Consider the following 19418-nt stretch of genomic DNA (forward strand, 5'->3'; position numbering starts at 1 on the left):
GTGTGCGTGGTCAGCTCGGTGTGCGTGGTCGGCTCGATTTCCGTGGTTGGCTCGGTGTGCGTGGTCGGCTTGGTGTGTGTGGTCGGCTCGGTTTCCGTGGTCGGCTCGGTGTGCATGGTCAGCTAGATTTCTGTGGTCAGCTCCGTTCAGAAGAGGTGCATATGAGGGGACATGATGCTTTGGGCTGTGAAAATGCAGATCCAGCAGGAGCGCAGAGTCGTGGCCCCTTCCTGGTGGGAGGATATTTTTCATCACTGACTCCGAGGTGAGCTCTTATTCTTCCTCAGCACGCACCCTCATTCCTGGAGCTGCCCTCTTTTGATCTAGGCTGTAAACCAGGATTGGTGACTTACTTTTAGTCTGTAAAGGTGCAGGGTGTTTCCAGAAACAACATACATAGGACATACCAAAACCTCTACTTTCAGCTACTTTGTGTGAGTGAGGATGGCATCTTGATTTTAATTGAGTTACCAGAAATGGTGCAGACTGCTCTCCTCTTTCCTAAGGGGAGGTATCTGTCCTCGGCAATGGATATGGTTAATTTTAAATAACAGTTAAATATAATCTGTAATAGCAGGATTATGTAAATTTTGGGAAATAAGTCCCCACCCATGTTGTATCTGCCACAGACCCCAAACCCACTTTGTGATGGCGATCTTATGTTAACAGTCATAAATGGTAACCAGCGAGTTAGCTTGGAGGTGCGTGGAGATCGCCCCTCGCAGCTACTCTCAGCCTTTTTCTTTGGAGTTGGCAGCTAAAACCTACATGGCCGAGGCATCCGTGTCGACATCCGCCCTGGCCAGAGGCACTCGGGAGGAGACAGAGCCTGTTTCAAAGCCCAGGTTTTGGGGTGAGGGAGGATGTGGCATTTTCTCCTTTCCTGTATTTCTGTGCCTGTTTCTCCTGTTTCTGAGAAAAGTGTTCTCTGAGCCCCTTGCCGTGGGTGAGTGTTCTCCGAACCCCTTGCCGTGGGTGAGTGTTCTCCGAACCCCTTGCCGTGGGTGAGTGTTCTCCGAGCCCCTTGCCGTGGGTGAGTGTTCTCCGAGCCCCTTGCCGTGGGTGAGTGTTCTCCGAGCCCCTTGCCGTGGGTGAGTGTTCTCCGAGCCCCTTGCCGTGGGTGAGTGTTCTCCGAGCCCCTTGCCGTGGGTGAGTGTTCTCCGAGCCCCTTGCCGTGGGTCTGCGGGAAATGTGTACTCCGAGCCCCTTGTCGTGGGTGAGTGTTCTCCGAGCTCCTTGCCGTGGGTCAGCGTTCTCCGAGCCCTTTGCCGTGGGTCAGCTGGACTCTCACCATGCGGAAGAATGTCGGGTAACCATCAGTGCCTGCTCTTCTCTTGGAGTGAGCTCTCTCTTTCTCCCCGGCTGTTTCAGGAGCCTGCGGGGATTTCTTCTGGCTCGGCTGTCGAGGTAATTCTGTGTCCCCTAGATGGAGCCGTCGACCTGATTTGCAGAGCAGAACGGCCAGGGAGTGTCTCTGGGCCGTGTCCTCAGACTGCAAACCCCAACACAGACAGGCAGGAGAGCCCCCAGCCCCAGCACCTGCCTGGCTGGGGAAAGCCAGCAACCCCAGTGAGTCCCTCACACCTGAGTGATGCCTTGTCCGGCTTTCCCAGGGAGGCTGCTCACCCCCTGGCTGTGGAGAGTGGAAGCAGGGACATTCTTGGGGCACAGCCTTGTTTTGGATTGAGCTGTTCCCAAGATCATGATCCATGAGGGAGAAAATCAACAACGTGCCTAGTACAGAAAGCAGATCTGTGGGGCTTCCTTAGGGGTTTCAGGAAAAACATGTTAGACGCAGAGGTGGCTTAGGATTTAACATCTGACCTTGAATCTGTCAGATCACTTGTTATCTTGTAAACGTGAGCCCTCAAAGGAAGCCGTAGGCCTGCAGTCGTGTTCTGCCTGAGATGTGTGTGGAAAATGGTGGTGAGAAGAGCCGTGAAGCGTAGCCCAGGAAAGCACCGCCGGTATTGAGTGATGCATTCAGCATGTGAGGTCACAGACCAGGTCCCCAGGAGCCAGTGGCCAGGGAAGGCCTCCACCCTGGGAGCTCCATCCTCTGGGAAGTCCTGGGGGCTTGGATGTAGGTGGTGGATGTGGGTGTTGGATGTCGGTGGTGGGTGTGGGTGGTGGATGTGAGTGGTGGATGTGGGTCGTGGATGTAGGTGGTGGATGTGGGTGATGGATGTGGGTGGTGGGTGTGGGTGGTGGGTGTGGGTGGTGGATGTGGGTGGTGGGTGTGGGTGGTGGGTGTGGGTGGTGGATGTGGGTGGTGGGTGTGGGTGGTGGGTGTGGGTGATGGATGTGGGTGGTGGGTGTGGGTGGTGGGTGTGGGTGGTGGATGTGGGTGGTGGATATGGCTGGTAGGTGGTGGATGTGGGTGGTGGATGTGGGTGATGGATGTGGGTGGTGGGTGTGGGTGGTGGGTGTGGGTGGTGGATGTGGGTGGTGGATGTGGCTGGCAGGTGGTGGATGTGGGTGGTGGATGTGGGAGGTGGATGTAGGTGGTGGATATGGGTGGTGGAAGTGGGTGGTAGATGTGGCTGGCAGGTTGTGGGTGTGGGTGGTGGACGTGGGTGGTGGGTGTGGGTGGTGGGTGTTGGTGGTGGATGCGGGTGGTGGGTGTGGGTGGTGGATGTGGGTGGTGGGTGTGGGTGGTGGGTGTGGGTGGTGGATGTGGGTGGTGGACGTGGGTGGTGGGTGTGGGTGGTGGGTGTGGGTGATGGACGTGGGTGATGGGTGTGGGTGGTGGGTGTGGGTGGTGGGTGTGGGTGGTGGACGTGGCTGGCAGGTGGTGGACGTAGGTGGTGGATATAGGTGGTGGATGTGGGTGGTGGATGTGGCTCACGGGTGGTGGATGTAGGTGGTGGCTGGTAGGTGGTGGATGTGTCTACCCTGGGGCTTCTCTGTGGAAAGCTCCCCCTGGCCTTCGTAGGACAAAGGATTCTTCAGGAAGCAGTAGGTGGCTGAGAGACCCCTGTGACAGTGTTGGTGAGTGATAACGAAAACTAGGAGGACTGCAGTGGGGAAGGGGGATGAAGGGGGAACATGAGCTGTGCTGCCTTTTCAGGGAGGGCTTGGTCAGTCATGTGGATTTGGACCAGGTGTGAAGGGAAGGAAGTGTTCTGGCCTGTTAGGTTGTCAAATAGTAATAATGCCCAGGTTTCTGTGCATGGGGTAAGTTAATCACCTGTGTTTTGGGCTCTCAGGGGTGGGCAATGCCTCTTTGGCTGCTGTTAGAAGGACACAGTAAGGCAGTGAAGCAATCAAGAAGCAAGCGTGCCTCGCTGCTGGGCTCCAGGAAGGCAGGTGTGGAGAGACGGGCAGTGAGATCTCAGCTGGGGTGCAGTTGCTTGTGATGCTTTCTGGGTTAGAGACTTTGCATCACCTCTGAAGCCCCCAGGACTTCCCAAAGGACGGAGCACAAACGTGACACTTCTCACAGCAGTGACTGCCCTGCCACGCCACGCTGTGTTTTATGGCTCACCGGTCCCACTCCTGCTGGATGTGAAGCTCAGGATGGTGAGATACTACCACAGTCCTCCTTGTAACCCATCCCCTTACAGCCTGGCACAGACTAGGGGCCCAATAAAGCCCTGTTGAGAGGAACTGGTGGTCATAAAACCCAAAATACGGCAAGTTGTCACTTAGTGTTATCCCAGATAAATGGAATATGTAAGAAAATGAAAAGATGGGGGTTCATGATTGCAAACTCTCCCTGGGCAAAACTCAGCCGTCTGTGAATTTGTTGTGTTGCCTTGGCAAAGCCCTGTCCTGTACACAGAGCCTCCATCTCTCCTCCACCTGCCCAGGTGGCTGCACAGGCTGGAGGGCCACAGACAGCTGGGTGAGTTGGTCTCACCGCACCTGCGTGACCACCTGGCTTAAACGCAGTCCTAGCGCTGAAATCTGTGCCATAGGACATTTGCTTTGCCAGTTTGGGATCAGGAGTGTCAAAGTGTGCATGTGACCTGGCAGGACACGACGTCTCTCTAGGCCTCCAGACAGTTGTTTCTCCCGCATGTATCCCAGGGTCTCCTCTCCCATCCTTTCTCAGTAGATGACTTCGATTCCCATTGCACTAAAAGACTAGAAGCTATCGGAGGAAAGTTTCTGCTGAGCTACTCCTTGCCACATTTCAGCTCCCTGTGTCTGTGCCTGTGGCTGCTCCATACCCCCTCGCTATGGAAGAGCTACCCCAGATCTTACCTCGGGTCACCTCTCGACCTGCAGAACGGACCCACCCACGTGCTTCCTCAGGGTCAAAACCCCAATAATTCTTCCCTCTTGTTCTGAATATTCAAACCTTCCCTGTTGACCACATGATCCCCATCACCCCATGGTGAGGCCAGCATTCCCTCCATCTTTCAGAGGAATATGCTTACCTTCAGCTACAGACTTAAAAGGTCCTTGTCATTTCCTCATAAGCACACATGATAAGTGAGCAGAGAGAACCTCCTGCCTATTTCTTTCTTCTTTCCGGAGACAGCTCAGCTGAATGCCCGGTCCATTCCCTGAACCACAGAGGTTGAACGCAGAAACCCTGGTCTAGACTTCCCTGCAATGTCCAGTCTGCTGCCTAAGGGCTGTTTGGCTTTTGGCAATTCACCAAAATTCTCTGCATCTTAGCTTCCCTGTTTATGAAAGCGGACAGCGGTAGTATCCACCTAATAGTTTGGTTGTCAGCATTAAATGAGTGAGTGTATATAAAGCACTTCACACACACAGTGCCCAGCGTATACTCAACACCCCTTACTTTTAAATGTTTTCATTTTTTAAAGTTGATAAATACAAATTGTATATGTCTATGGTATACAACCTGTTGTTTTGAAAGACGTAAACACTGCGGAGAGACTAAATTGAGCTAATTAACGTATGCATTACTCACACACTATCATTTTCTTGGATGAAACCCTTAAAATCTGCCCTCTTAGCAGTTTTCCACTATGCAGTGCCTGGTGGACTGCAGTCTCCATGCTGGGCATCAGTCTCTTGACTTACTCCTCCCGTCTCATTGGCATTTTGTGTCCTTTGACCTCCCCAACCGCGCCCCCACCCAGGTCCTGGTAACCACCCTTCTATTCGCTGCTTCTGTGAGTTCTCTTGTTTAGGTGTCCTTTTTTAGGGACAGGTGTGTGTGTGTTGTCTGTTTTGTTCACTTTTGGATGGGGACACCCAGAAGAGTTCCTGGCACATAGTAAGTGCTCAGCAAACATTGGCAGTAAGCAGGAATGTGCATTTCTAGGTGACTCGCCATAGGACGGCGCCCCCTGGTTGCTCAGATGTCTGCACAAGGTTGGAATGTTGACTCCCAGACCTGCCGTTTGTAATCAAGTTTAACGGGGCTTGGGTCCCAGTAATTTCAAAGTGAAGGGGGCAAGAGGTAAAGCCTTTGGGTTTTAATTAGTGAGAGGGGGAAAGTGAGAGAATGCTAGGAATGTGCAATTCAATTTTGTCGAAGATTTTTCTATTGAGTCACGGAAAGCAGCCCAGCAATATAAAAGCTGCCCAGTTACCAGTAAATTAGTGGTAAATAGAATAAAGTCAGGCAGTTATTAGCAGAAACCATATTTCTGAAGGCTAATGTGGGTTTAATCACTTTTATTTTCCTACTGCCTTCATTTTTGTTCTGCCTTGAATGCAATCTGTAATTTGGCATAATGAAATCCATGCCATAGGACATTTGCTCTGCCAGTTTGGGATCAAGAATGTCAAAGTGTGCATGTGACCGAGGGCCATGCTTCACTTTACCTCTAGTTTGGAGGTTGTTTTTATTTTGCTTGTACTTCATGATCTAAATTCCCCCTCCCATTTCCCCGGCTGCCGTGCATATATGACTTTGCAGGGGTGGATGTGTACATGAATGGGACTGGCTGATTCAAACCTTTTCTGCTGGAATAAAAAGAGATATTAAAGAGAGACATTAAAGGGGACCTAAGTAAGAATCCACATTGCATGTGGGCGTGTTTGAGGCTTTTTCACCTAATATCTGTGTTTCCTTCATCCCCATAACCCAGATGCTGTTGGAGATGTGTTAGTACACGTTGAAAAGGGGGATAAGTGAATTGACTCTCTCCTTAGCATCAGTGTCTTGCATATGTAGCTGCTTTACAAATATGAAGTTGTTTTACAAATGCAAATATAGTATGATCTCTCTTCAGCTCTTGATTAACAGAGATGCTTGTGGAATGAGGAATTTGTGATTTATTAAATTTTCTGCTGAATTTGAATTTCACCACAACCCCCCTTTTTTTTTTCTGCCTAGCCATCTGGGGTCAAGGCCTCACCCATTGTCAGTGCTTGGTAAATGCACGCCAGGTTTGAAAGGACTGAAATGCATCCTTTTTTTGTTGTTTTATTAAAATAATAGGTTTTTTTTAATAATACAGCTTTATTGAGACATAATTCACATACCATAAAATTTACTCATTTCTAGTAAACATTCAGTGGTTTTAATATATTCACAGAGTTGTGCAGCCATCACCACTATCTAATTGCAGAATATTTCTTATCCCCATAAGAAACCCCTAACTGGTTGGCAGTCACTGCCCATCATCTCCTTCCCCAGACCCTGGAAAACACCAGCAGACTTTCTCTTTCTATAGGGAGCCTGCTTTCAGCATTTCATATGAAAGGAAACATACAATATGCAACCTTTGCGGTCTGGTTTCTTTCACTTAGCAAGGTTGTCAAGCTTCTATATTTTATGATATACAGGTTGAGTATCTCTTATCCCAAAGTTTTGGGAAACGAAGTCTTTCGGATTTTGGAATTTTTTTTGGATTTTGGAATATTTGCATTACACTTACCAGTTAATGATCCCATATTTTAAAATCCAAAATGCTCCAGTGAGCATTTCCTTTGAGCATTATGTTGGCAAAATAATATACTTTTCCCAGTGAGTCTCCTCACATCTTAGTGCACTCAGACTGCTGCCACAGAATAGCCTGGATCGAGTGTCTTATAAACAACAGTATTTATTTCCCAAGGTTCTGGGGTATGGAAGGCCAAGATCAAGACACTGGCAGGGTCAGTGTCCAGCGACAGCCACTTCCTGGTCCCTAGATGGCCTCCCACTGTGTCCCACTGTGTCCCACAGAAGGCCAAGGCGGGTCTCTGTGGCCTTTTTTTTTAAGGACTCTACTCTCATTCATGAGGGATCAGCCTTCATGCCCTAATCACCTTCCAAAGGCCCCACCTCCTAACACCATCACCTTGGAGGTTCGGTTTCATCATATGGATTTTGAGGGGACAGAAACATTCAATCTATCGCAGCATCCTTGTTAAAAATTAATATTAATGTTTATTTTGTGGCTCTCAGTTTTATTCCGTTGATCTATATGTCTAGCCTAGGTACAGAGTTGTAACTCAGTCTTTCTTTTATGTTTGAAAACCTTAGACCGTTAAGGCCTGCAAGGGTGCGGACACTGTGGTATTTGACCCGACTGTGTGTAGCTCAAGTTTTGGACCAACCTGCCTGAGTCCGAATTTCCGCTGGAAAGTATTTGACCTTGTGAGAGTTGTTCAACTCCCTAAGCCTCAGATTTTTAATCTACAGAATACAAACGAACTGGATAGAACTGGCCTGCAGTGTGAGACATCTATGAAGAGCACGTAGATCGCTCAGAACTGTGCCCGGCGCGTGTTCTCATTCCAGCCTCAGTCCTGTGAGGCTGTCGTCTCCATTTTACAAAGGACACCCCAAGGCTCACAGACATGCAGGAAGTAAATCAAGGTGAAATGTGAATCTAGTTCCATCTGACTTCAAAGCCGTTGCTACTTCAGTTATTAGGGCCTCTCCTGGTCTCAGTAAGTGCTGATTCTAAAACCTGCCACCGGGTGTTCACAGGTAGCGACGGCATCGTCTGTGCGTCTGTGCTCAGTGAATCTCTGGAAGGTGTGGGGTGGGCCCTGCTATACTCCGCAAGGCCCCTGCTGTGCAAGACAATGTCCCGTCTCTTCTGCTTGAAATGATGTTTAACTAGCAAAGTACAATGGTGAATACTTGGTGTGTTTCCTTGGGCCAAATAATTTGAATAAGCTGGGCTCAAACCACATGCCTTGATGTGGGTGCTGTGATGTTGTTTGAATGAGAAGAAGATGCCGCCCGAGGCCCTAGACCTGGAACTGGGGCTGCGGTGGGCCTAGCCTGTCCCCACATCTGCCGCCGAAGCTGCAGTCTTGGGACAGCCACCCTCTCCTGTGTGCCTTTCTTCTCTGTAAAATGAGTAGCCGGGATTGCATATTCTCCTGGTACACTCTGACTTTAAAATTCAGTGTGCCTATAAATATGACTAAGTGATTTCACAACTATATTTAAAACTGCATGAACAGACTCACGGGTAGAAAAACAGCAGTGATTTGACTGAGCCACACCAGCTTTCGGTTTTCCAGGAAGCATGATAATTTGTAGAGTTTTCAGAATGACATTGATAAGAGATTGACAAAGTTATGTGTCTGTCATTGACCAGTTACTTCCCGTTTAGCCTGCATTCCTGCAAAATACATGGGAGGGGAAGCATCTTGTGGCGGGCACTGTCAATAATGTTTAGACGACGACTGGTGTCTCTGAGCCTCGATTCCACGAGACTTCATCCTCATTGTCTCTCGAGTTACGGGGGAAAATGTGTAATGAAATGGCAAGTTTTATGCAAACGGGGGAAATGTATAATAAAATGGCGAGTTTTATGCAAATATCAATGTTAGGATGGAGGCCTGTTCTACTTCTATAATTTTAACGTCTTCGAAGACACAGACACCTTCTTCCCGTGACTTGCTCAGAGGCTTCCCCAACCAGTGCCACCTGGGTAGGAACATTTGGTCAGCGGCCACTGTTGGAATGTTTCTTTCTAAACACCCTGCTTAACGTCACACGGGAATACAATTTACCCTTTTATCCTTTATTTGTAAAAATTTATTGTGCTTTCCTTGCAATAGATAAATATTGTTTATGTTATAAAAGGTAGGGCGTATACAAAAAGAAAATATTCAGTTATTCCATATTCCTCCACTCTGAAATAACCACTATTGACAGTGTGCTGGATTTACTTTCAGGACACACACAAGCAGAGACATCCTTCCATGAATACAGACCCATGCATGCGTGGATACAGACACAGGCACATATGAATGGAGGCACAGACATACATGAACAGAGACACACAGACGGTGCATAGACACAGGCACATGCACACATGAGTGCAGGCAGTAACAGGTGTGCATACGTGTACACATATGCATAGGCAGTCACATGTGTGGATATGTGCACACGCATTTACAGTCACACACAAGTACATATGTGTACACACATGTGCAGGCAGGCAGACACATGCATATGTACACACGTGGATATATGCACACACATGCTGTCACACACATGTGCCTACGTGTATGCACATGCACAGGCAGGCACATGCATATGTACACACATGCGGATATGTGTACACACATGCTGTCACACACATGTACATACGTGTACACACATGCACAGGCAGTCACACACATACATATGTGTTCACGGATATGCAGGCAGTCACAGCCACGTGTGCCTATAGTTTCAGAGCAGAAACTTTGTATGCCTACAGTTTTAACCAGCTTTTAAATATTCATTATAAATTGTAAATACCTACAGTCCCCGATTTAACCATGGTTTGACACACAATTTTTTGACTTTAGGATGGTTCAAACATGATACAGGTTTCCTGAATGCCATACGAGTGCCCCTCTGCTTCTGTTTTTCACTTTCAGGATAGTACTCAATGTTGCATGAGATATATATCCAACACTTTAGTATAAAACAGGCCTTGTGCGAGGTGGCTTTTGCCCACTGTAAGCTGATGCGTGTGTTCTGTGCACATTCACGCTGGGCAAAGCTGAGCTGTGATGTTATGTGGATTAGGTGTATTAAATGCATTTTTGACTTACGGCATTTTCAGCTCATGATGGGTTTATTAGGAAGTAACCCCATTATAAGCCAAGGAGCGCCTGTCCCTGAATGCAGGAACTTGGTGTTCTTAGACTACAGGAATAGCTAATTGCATCCCATGTACATGGGATAATTCTTCCAACCCAGTCTCCTCATCTTGACATTTAAGTAGCTTCCATTTCATTACACACGTAACACATTTTAAAGTATCTTCTCCTTAAACTGCCTGGCTGTTTTCTCAGGAACTAGTTTGAAGGGCAGATTCTCAGAAACCTTGAGTCAGGAGGTCTGTGGAGGGATGAAAAGGACCTGAATTTTTTACGTGCTTCCCCATAGATTTCCATGCGGCAGTGTGTGATGAGCTTGTGTGACCTATGGGCCTTAGATCGAGAGAGGCTGTCACGTGCCCGGTCATTTCGTGGGTGGGGGGTCATTTTGTGGTGGGGTCATTTCGTGGGTGGGGGTCATTTCGTGGGTGGGAGTCATTTTGTGGTGGGTCATTTCGTGGGTGGGGGTCATTTTGTGGTGGGTCATTTCGTGGGTGGGGGTCATTTTGTGGTGGGGTCTTTTTGTGGGCAGGGGGTCATTTTGTGGTGGGGTCATTCCATGATGGCCCTGGATGGGACAGGGCACAAGGGGAGCAGCTTCTTCCTGGGCAACATTGTCAGCACCACCTCGAAGCACAACTGCATGAGTTGACTTTATCCCAGAAATTTTCTTTTCTCCAGAGGCCTCATTGAAGGGAACCCAGGCTCTCTGGATGGAGCATTTTTCAGCAGCACTCACCTGGGAGGGGCACCGGGCTGTGTTGTCTCAGATCCAGCTGCATCTTCTCTCCATACAAGATCGTTTTACCCTCAGATGCAGAATGATCCAATACCGTCAGCTGTTTACCCTCAGATGCAAAATGATCCAATACCGTCAGCACGTGGGGAGTGTGCTGTCACTTCTGAAGTGAAGGCACAGACTATATTGATGTTAATACCACTCAGCATAAAGATGACATACGCAGAGTATTTTGTCAAAAAGACACAACAGAGAATTTACACATGCACAAATAGAAATAGACTTGCTACTATGTAATTTTATCTAATAGAGCATTTTCTGGGGTCTTAAATGGACTGATTTTGGGATCCAGAGTAAAGTCACGTCTGGTCCACATCACAGTTTAGACTCACGGAAGCTGCTTCTTCTCATGCAGATCCCGCCACGCTCAGCACAGTGGCTGTATGAGGCTGGGGGGCTTCACCTCTGTCTCATGCCTGCTCAGTCACCTGCTGAGTCTCCTGCCTGGGCCCCTCAGGGCTTAGCTCTACTCCTCTCTAAGTGGAGAAGTCGACTGGGAGTCTGCTACGGGTTTTTTCCTTTCAATTTCAACATGCCATGGATTCATGAGAGCAAATGAGCTTAAATGCACCATCTATAAGCCTATTAATTTTTGAATTTGCACACCAGAGGAGTGCCACCTGCCCACATTCTACCCACAATGGGATGCCCCACAAGGATGCAGAGGGAGAAACCAGGCTCAACACGCCTGCCGCCAGCACGCGCCTGCCAACTGCACACTGACGTTGTTCTCCTGTGCCTGGTGTTGCAGCCCCAGAGTGCCTATTGTGGGCACTGAACTCCCGTGTCATGAGGTGGGCCTGGGCCCGGCCGCCCTTCCTGGGCCTGCCTCTGACCACCCCTTCCCCCCATTCTCATGCATGTAGACAGTTCATACATAGCCCAGGGGGTTTTACCTCATTCAGCTGTTTCTTCCTCCTTTCTACAAACTCTGAGGACATACTTTACATGCAAAACCATGCCAAATGCCATGGGGTATTTAAAGCTCAGTAGCCTGTAATCCCTGACTCAAAGGCAGTAAAAAGGAAATAATTTTTGCAGGTAGTTTTAACACATGGCATCACAGCATACACTAGGAATGGGGAAATTTTGCTGTAAGGCGTGGAAAAGGCAGTGGGGAGAGGAGGGAGTATCATCTTTGGAGGAGTTACTATATTCCAGGCATTGTGTAGGAGGAATCCTTTGACGGGGACTCACAGGCAGGGTCCCTGGAAGAGGTGGCATTTAGCTTTGGCCTCGAAAGATGGCTGGGGGATCATTAGCTTCTGTAGGAACAAACCCCATAGATGTTGCATTGGCCTAGTAGGGGGGCAGTTTGTTTTTTCTGGTTGGCCTGGTCATCAGAATAACTCATCTGGGTAATACAGGGAGGGGTTTTCTAGGGGCTCGGTTACACACACTGGACTTGTTTTTAACATATAAGAGAGGCTGGGAGCATTTCTGAAAAATGGCCTATAGAAACACAGGGCAATGACAACCTGTAAGGAGGATAGAACTGGCTGCAATCCATACCTGTAATATTCAAACTCATTATTAATCTTCCCCCAAATGTCTATATAGAGAACCAGGTGATATCCAGGTTAAGCAAATATTCAAGAGAAATGTAAATGTGACCTTCCTTAATTAACAAATTTGCTAACATTTCTCATCACTGCGGAGTTGCTGTAGGATGTTCAGCTGCCCCTTGAATTTACATGTGGAGTAACAAACAAGGAAGCATATGTAATGTGCTTTGCCGTTTGCAATTTCGCAATGGAAAAGAGGTGCTGTACGTTTTGCTTTGTAATTTTGGGTTATTTAAAAGAAATCAAAATAGAAGCGCGGATGTGGTGGAGTCGCATCCATCAGATTCGGAACCTTCTCTCTCCTGGTGACTGGCCAGTCTATTTGGGCAAATTATTTAATGCTATCAGACCTCAGCCTTCTAATTTGTAAAATGCCTTCTTCATAAGATGGTTATAAAGTTTGGGGGAACATAGAATGAAGTGCTTCCTACACAGGCAGTACAAGTGATGAGTTCATACCCTTGGAAGGGAAGGAGCTTGTGCAAGCTTGATCTCCACAGAGAAGGAACCAGAAGGACCAGGTGTGTCCCAGTCAGCTCCGTCATCCCAGTCAGTTCGCAGTCTCCGAGGCCAGGGGTTTTGAAACCTGGGAAGTGAAATGTGTGCATGCAGCTGAAGAAGAGACAGACGCGTGAGTGATGAAGACTGACACAGAAACACACCAAGCAGAGGCCCGATAACTGCGAGGAATTCCGTGGATGTGTACCGTGTTTGGAGACGGGATAATTCCTGGATTTAATTGCAAAGGACCCAGTCTTTCTGCCTGACATATTGGGTGCTAGCAGAATGTTGCCATAACAACCAAGCAAGTAACTGTGGCAGGTTAGCAAGCAGCCAAAAATCATTATAATATTTAAGAACCAAAACTTTAATATTTTATTTTCATTACCGTCACTGGTTTTCCTTCCTAGCAGAATGGATTCCTGTGCTAGTTATGGTAACCTTTTCTGCAGTGCTTTTAGAGCAAGTACTGTTGAGTTTATATTTTCCAAAAGATTAAAAATGATCCCTTTGATGAATTTCACTTTTATTTGGGTCTTTTTGTGTAAAGAAATCTGTGGTTAGCAGTACAACAAATGTGTTACACCGGCTTCCTTTTCCCGGTCAGATTCAGCCTTCCGCTGCTGGGTGCTGTTCATCATCATGAGTGCTGAAATGGGAGCCTCTGAGCCTGTGTGCGGCACCCGGCGTTTCTGGGAAGCTTCCTATAGATTTTTCCTCTCCTGGTTTGAGTACAGGCATGAATGCACGCACACATGTACACGCACGCACACACAGATCCACACGCATGCGCACACACATGTATGCACATGTACACACACGTACACACACGCACACACACGGACACACACGCACACACACACACCATCCATGCATAAAAGTCATTCGCAGTCATGTCTATGCTCAAACCCATTAAAACATTTTTGTGTCCCTGTTTCAGTGTCCGTATTAAATGGCTTGGACTTTACTCTTGGCTCCAAGCATCTTAGATTTGTGGTCACCAGTTACACTTCGGCTTTGTAGACGTCTATCATTGTCAACATAAGTTTTTACATAAGTGCTGTCATTAAAGTAGTCTAACTTACTGTATATTAGAATATATGATATTTCTGCAAATATTTATATTTTCTATGGCGTTCATTATTAATATAGAAATTAAATAAAACATGCCCAGTAATTTATCATCCCTCTCTTGGGTTGTGTACCTAGGAATGATCAGATAACAATTGACTGCTTAATTTAAATAAAACAATGCACTATTCTCAGCAGGAATTAACATTATTTGGAAGGTTTGATTCATGGTTTTTGCATTGTATTGGTGTCACGCTGTTGCACTGGACAAGACCTTAAAAAAACTCTTGGAGGCTGAGATTCAATTACTCTCAATCAAATTGTAAGGAAAAACCATAACTTATCTAAAACATTTTTTATTATCAACTGTTTTCATTAATGCTTTGTGTTTGTTTTATAAAAAGCACTAGAACAAAATAATAACAGCCTTCATAGACAGTGGCACACAAAAATAGTTTTTCCTCATGAAGCAATAATCGCATATAGCAAATTGAATATACTTCCACAGCAAGGAATGTTGAGGCCACATGGTCAGAAAACAGTTCCATGTTACGACGCACATTTAAGATGTTTATAAGGATCAACTTCTTAAAAATTTTACCAAGAGTGAAATCTATGGAATAGACGTTTTGTAAAGATGGATGCTATCAGTGTGTGTTTTGAGACCACTTTTTCTCAATTGTCCAATTGTGTGATTATGTGATGACATTCTCTAAACATAAAGCGCTTTTGCTGGTGGTTTCGGCCTGATGAGCTCTATTTTCTTGAAACAGAAGATGAGTGCATTAAGAACTGTAGCTTCAACTTATCAAACTAGCAAATTGATTTTCTGTTTTCCATTTCAAATCAGAGTCACAGTGATTTGGAGTCATCCGTCCCCTGTAAGTCTCTTCTTCCTGCTCTAAATATTAATGTAATAAGATATCTAGGTTCCTTACCTATGAATGTGTTAGGACTTTATCTGGTTTACTGTTAGGATGAGATAAAATATTTTTCTACTTAAAGTCTGTTGTTATCACTTATAAGAGATTTTACATGTGGACTATTTATTTAATGGCCCTACTAATGTTTTCCATCAAATATCTAAAGCCAAGGACGCTCGTCTTCTCACTGTTGGACTTCCGGGTAGGACGCTGGAAACAGCCGTCGGATAGGCCGTTGGTCACCGTCTTCCAGCTCCTCCACAAAGCAGGTTCCAGAGCTGCATCCCCTGCCATAATAGCCCGGGAATCGGCAGCCAGCACCGTTGCCATGCTGAGTTTTCACGGCTCATTCCACTGAGGAGGCCTCGCCAGCAGAGAGGGGCACCTGAGTCAGGCTCATTTGGGCTTGAATCCTGATTCTTACTTCAAGGATTTGGGCACAATATTTAATCTCTATGGATCTCTGCTTCTCAATCTTCAGATGTCAGGAATAATAATACCTGGCCAGCTAAAGAAAAGAGTGGGTTGGATTGTGGTCACCTTGGTGTGCCCTGGGGGGTGTTGAGATGCAGGAAGCTGCTCCTTATGGAGGCAGCTCAGGGAGTTGAGAGCAGAGAGGGCTTGGTAGCTCCCAGGTAGCAATATTTCACCACTGAGTAAGCATTCAGTTGTATGACTTCCTCAGGCAATTCAGTGTAACACTGGAGGGCTTTTAGAGAAAAATGTAATTCTCGTTTTAGGAAAAAATACCCGTTTGTTCCTGGTTATAACTTTTGATCAAACGACCTCAGTTGAGTGTGTTGTGTGGCATAGTTTTACAAGGGCCTGGTCACGTGGGCCTCTCCACTCGTGGCATCTGTGGCCCCTCTAACGCATCCCATAGTTTCACATAACTGTTCCGTGCATGTGGTGGAGGGTGGAATTCCTCCAGCTCTGTGTGTCCTCTGTCCTGGTTTACCTCAGCCTTCTCCCATTTTTCCCATCTCTTTTTCCTAGTTTGCTTATTTACATGTCTTAATTTTGGAACTTTTTTTCATGTTTTGGAACTGTGTTTCAAAGAGCCATTCTTTAGTCTCTTGTTTGCTGTAGAACTATTAAAGAAAATTTTATTTTTCCCCTAAGCCAGCAGGACTCCAACTAATGACTTCCAAAATGTGTGTAATGAAACACAGCTCCGGTTGAAAGGTGCCAGGACACCGGCACACCCGTGCCAAAATGTGGATTTATACAGGGATGCGTTAGCACTGTGCTGCTGTCAGCATCAGCTCTGGAGTCAGACTGAGCTGGATTTGAATTCTGACCCTGCCAGATCATCGCTCCAGAAGTTTCTTAATTTTGATCTCAGTTTCTTCAGTTGTAAAATGGGAATTCCAGCACTTACATCAGACCAGCTGCAATGAGTACATGCAACTGTGCCCCTGAATTTCTAATTGTACCTGGTAGGTAACTTAGTAAATAGCATTTCCCCCTTAATCCTCTACCTGCATTTTCTGGTGAATACAACCCAAATAGGGAGGTGAGAATTTCCTAACGATAAATCACCTCGAAGAGACAGAGACAGACCGTGTTCGTTAGTTTTCGTTAACCCCAAGAACTCATGGACCCACCAGAATAATCCACACCCGCAGTTTGAGGAACTACTGTGAGATACATATTTTTCTGCATGAAAATGAGTTGTAAAATTATTACTGCAGAGTTTTACCTTTGAAACCTGTGAAACCTTTCAGTGTGAGAATACTTTTTACCCTAGGACACACAGTTCCCTTGAGATATGCATCGGTTACTACACGTAGAAGTTAGCTGCCTGTATTAACATAGGTTATTAAGAAACAGGAGTTTTAGCACAGGTAAATTTAATTACCTACATTGAAGTTAGCCATCTGTATTAACAGGTTATTAAGAAACAGGAGTTTTAACACAGGAAAATTTGAATTACATACAGTTCATGTTAATCCAAACATTCAAATGCTGCACGTATTTTCCATTTTACTAAATCATTATTCACATTAGGGTTATGCACACAAGGGCTAAGTCTTTAATTGATAATTCTTTCCTTCTATGGATATAAATGGCATTGCCTAAGAATTCAGCTCTTCGTTTGTTGTCTCTCTAACTTACTGGCTGTGCTATCTCTTGATTTCTTATGTCTATCTATGGAAGAAGATTAGAAACCTCTATTCTAAACACCGACAAAGTCTTTCTGGAGAATGTAAGCAGGGACCAGGCAAACAAGAAAACCTCCGGTGTAATTTTCTCTGAATTAGATTTGTTTGCGAACAGCTTGTGGCCTTTCATCTTTGAGAATTGTGACTATGTTCATTGATACTAACACCAGAGGTTAAAATGTGTTACCAAGAGAACAAAAGGGAGATAATCTTTAGTTCAATGTAGCAAAACAAAGTACTTGTTGAAGCTTTGATGTTTAAGGCTGGAGAAATAAAAAAAAAAGAGGTTGCATTTCTGGCTCTTATTTTCCAGTTCTTAAATCCTTCATTTTACATTAGGACCCAGAGACATCAAGCTGCATAAACAAGAAAACTTGTTTTGCTTTATTTGTGGCTCTACATGAACCTAAGATTATGGGAAAACATTCTATCAATAGTCTGCTTCTGGTGAACTTAACAGTTTTGAGAAGAAAAGATATTACCCTGCTCTGCCAAATTCCCCGAGTGAGGATCACGTGGGGTTGCATGCGAGTGTATTCCCACAGGGGGCTTGGCTGGATTGACTAGCGGCGGGTCTGGGGGCGCGGCCGGATTGACTAGCGGCGGGTCTGGGGGTGTGGCCGGATTGACTAGCAGTGAGTCTTGATTTCAGCATTTTGCTAAAGACCTTCTTTTGGAGATGTTGCTTTACAAATAGATAATCACTCACTTGGCACTGAGAGAATAAGCCCGAATTTCTGTAGGAACCCAGCACCTGCCACGGCTCCGACGGGCGACCTGACTGCTGCAGGCCATGCTCTGCTGTGAGATGCGGTGTGATATGGGTTCAAAGTTTTGCATCGTCCAGTTCAATCATCAATAGAACTCTAAGGGTGGCTTCTAATACCTGCCCATGCACCCATTCTCAGGTCAGCCTCGAGGGGCCATGCAACAACGTAGCTGGCTAATGTGGTTCAGCAATGGGGAGCACTGTGTTGGCAAAGAGGAGATCAACTTGGAGGGAGCAGGGGGAAGCCTGGCTCATCACGGCTGGTTAAAATCCAAGTTTCTAGCCATCTACCAAGTAGGTTGTTTAACCTGTTGTCATGTATGTGGTTGGTAAATTAGAGTTGTGGTTGTCACCTCTTAAGACAGATTGGCCTTATATTATATGGACAAGCTACAAAGATCAAGTGATCTTAAAAGTGATATTTGAGGCCCACCCCAGATTATTGGATTAGGAATCAGGAAACACCTTGTGGTGTGACTTCATGTGAGTTCCTGGACACCTGTGCGTGCTCGTTGCCCTTGATGGCCACACCCACCTGTGCCTACCTCAAAAGACCTCATCAAAACTGGTGTTAGAAGCTTGAGGTGGAATGCAATTCAGCAAACCTTTATTTAGCATCTCAGGGCTGTACCTTGGGCTGGATGTTGGCCATAGCAGCGTCTGCTTCTGAGAAGACATAAACGGAAGTCTCCAGGGCTCCCCCCATGTGTCCATGTGTCCATGGGTAAACCTCAGGTTCGCCCATCTCTCTGTGTCCAGTGGGAGTCCTAAAGCCAGCAGTGCTGCTCTCTGCTCTGGGGCTCTGTGACAGCTCTCTTTGGGCCCTGGATCCTCTTGGCTTCACTTATAGGGAGAGGCTCCATCACCAGCTGGGCCTCATCCCCTGCCCACTCACCCCTCGGGGTCCCAGCATACTCCATCCCCGAGGGCCTCCTGGGACCCCTGCATCCCCTGGGTATGGACTCTCCCTGCCTTCTCCGTGGAGAAGGCATGAGGGGTGGCATATTCCTTAGGAACACAGCTCTGGAGCCGCACTCCTGAGCCCGAAGGCTTGGGCTCCTCCCTCAGCTCTGTGCCTCAGTTTCTCCCTCCATGAGACAGAGACCCCAGGAGCTCCAGCCTCGGGCTGCAAGAGGATTGAATGAGCAGAGCACGTGGTGTGTGGCGAGTGTGGGCTGTTCAGTGCCCATTGCCTCCCCTCCATTAGGCTGTGAGCTTCCCGGAGGCAGGGGTGTGTTCATGGCTTTTGTTCTGGTTTGCTCCCTCCTGTGTCCCCACCACTTCACAAATGCCTGGTGAATGCTTGTGGGTAGATATGCTGTGGTCAGCCTCCTTGGACCAAGGCGCCCTCTTTGCTGTGGGAAGGCTGAGGGGCGTGAGGCAGGTGAGGGAATTCCACGTCTGTGCAGGCGCAGTGGTGACCGCAGGAACCACCAGGACAGACAGAGACACGCCTCTTGGGAAGGCAGCCAGGCAGTGGGACCGACCATATGGGGCAGTGCAGAGAGTCGGGGGCGGTCGCGATGCAAATCGCATTCTGTGTGGCCCCGGGGGCATGGATCGGGGGTATTCACAGCTGGTGGTTTTGAAGTATGAGTGGGCTCCAGAGGGCCAGAAAAATGGTAGCTGGGACGTCTTGACAGCAAGCAAGTG

General features: G+C 47.0%; 1 protein-coding gene across 2 annotated transcripts in view, besides 2 other annotated features; it reads left to right on the plus strand.

Moving 5' to 3' along the window:
- The window catches only part of DLGAP2 (DLG associated protein 2), a 970849-nt gene that overhangs the window by 302964 nt on the left and 648467 nt on the right, over positions 1-19418 (plus strand). The window lies entirely within an intron of this gene.
- Positions 16904-17535: an enhancer, noted in NCBI's record as "NANOG-H3K4me1 hESC enhancer chr8:1007495-1008126 (GRCh37/hg19 assembly coordinates)". NCBI's record gives its function as "activates a minimal SCP1, AML or CMV promoter by ChIP-STARR-seq in naive H9 embryonic stem cells {active_cell/tissue: H9 hESC(naive)}" and the evidence as "EXISTENCE:reporter gene assay evidence [ECO:0000049][PMID:30033119]".
- Positions 17536-18166: an enhancer, noted in NCBI's record as "H3K4me1 hESC enhancer chr8:1008127-1008757 (GRCh37/hg19 assembly coordinates)". NCBI's record gives its function as "activates a minimal SCP1, AML or CMV promoter by ChIP-STARR-seq in naive H9 embryonic stem cells {active_cell/tissue: H9 hESC(naive)}" and the evidence as "EXISTENCE:reporter gene assay evidence [ECO:0000049][PMID:30033119]".

Source organism: Homo sapiens, chromosome 8 (assembly GCF_000001405.40).
Source record: "Homo sapiens chromosome 8, GRCh38.p14 Primary Assembly".
Classification (NCBI taxonomy): Eukaryota; Metazoa; Chordata; class Mammalia; order Primates; family Hominidae; genus Homo; species Homo sapiens.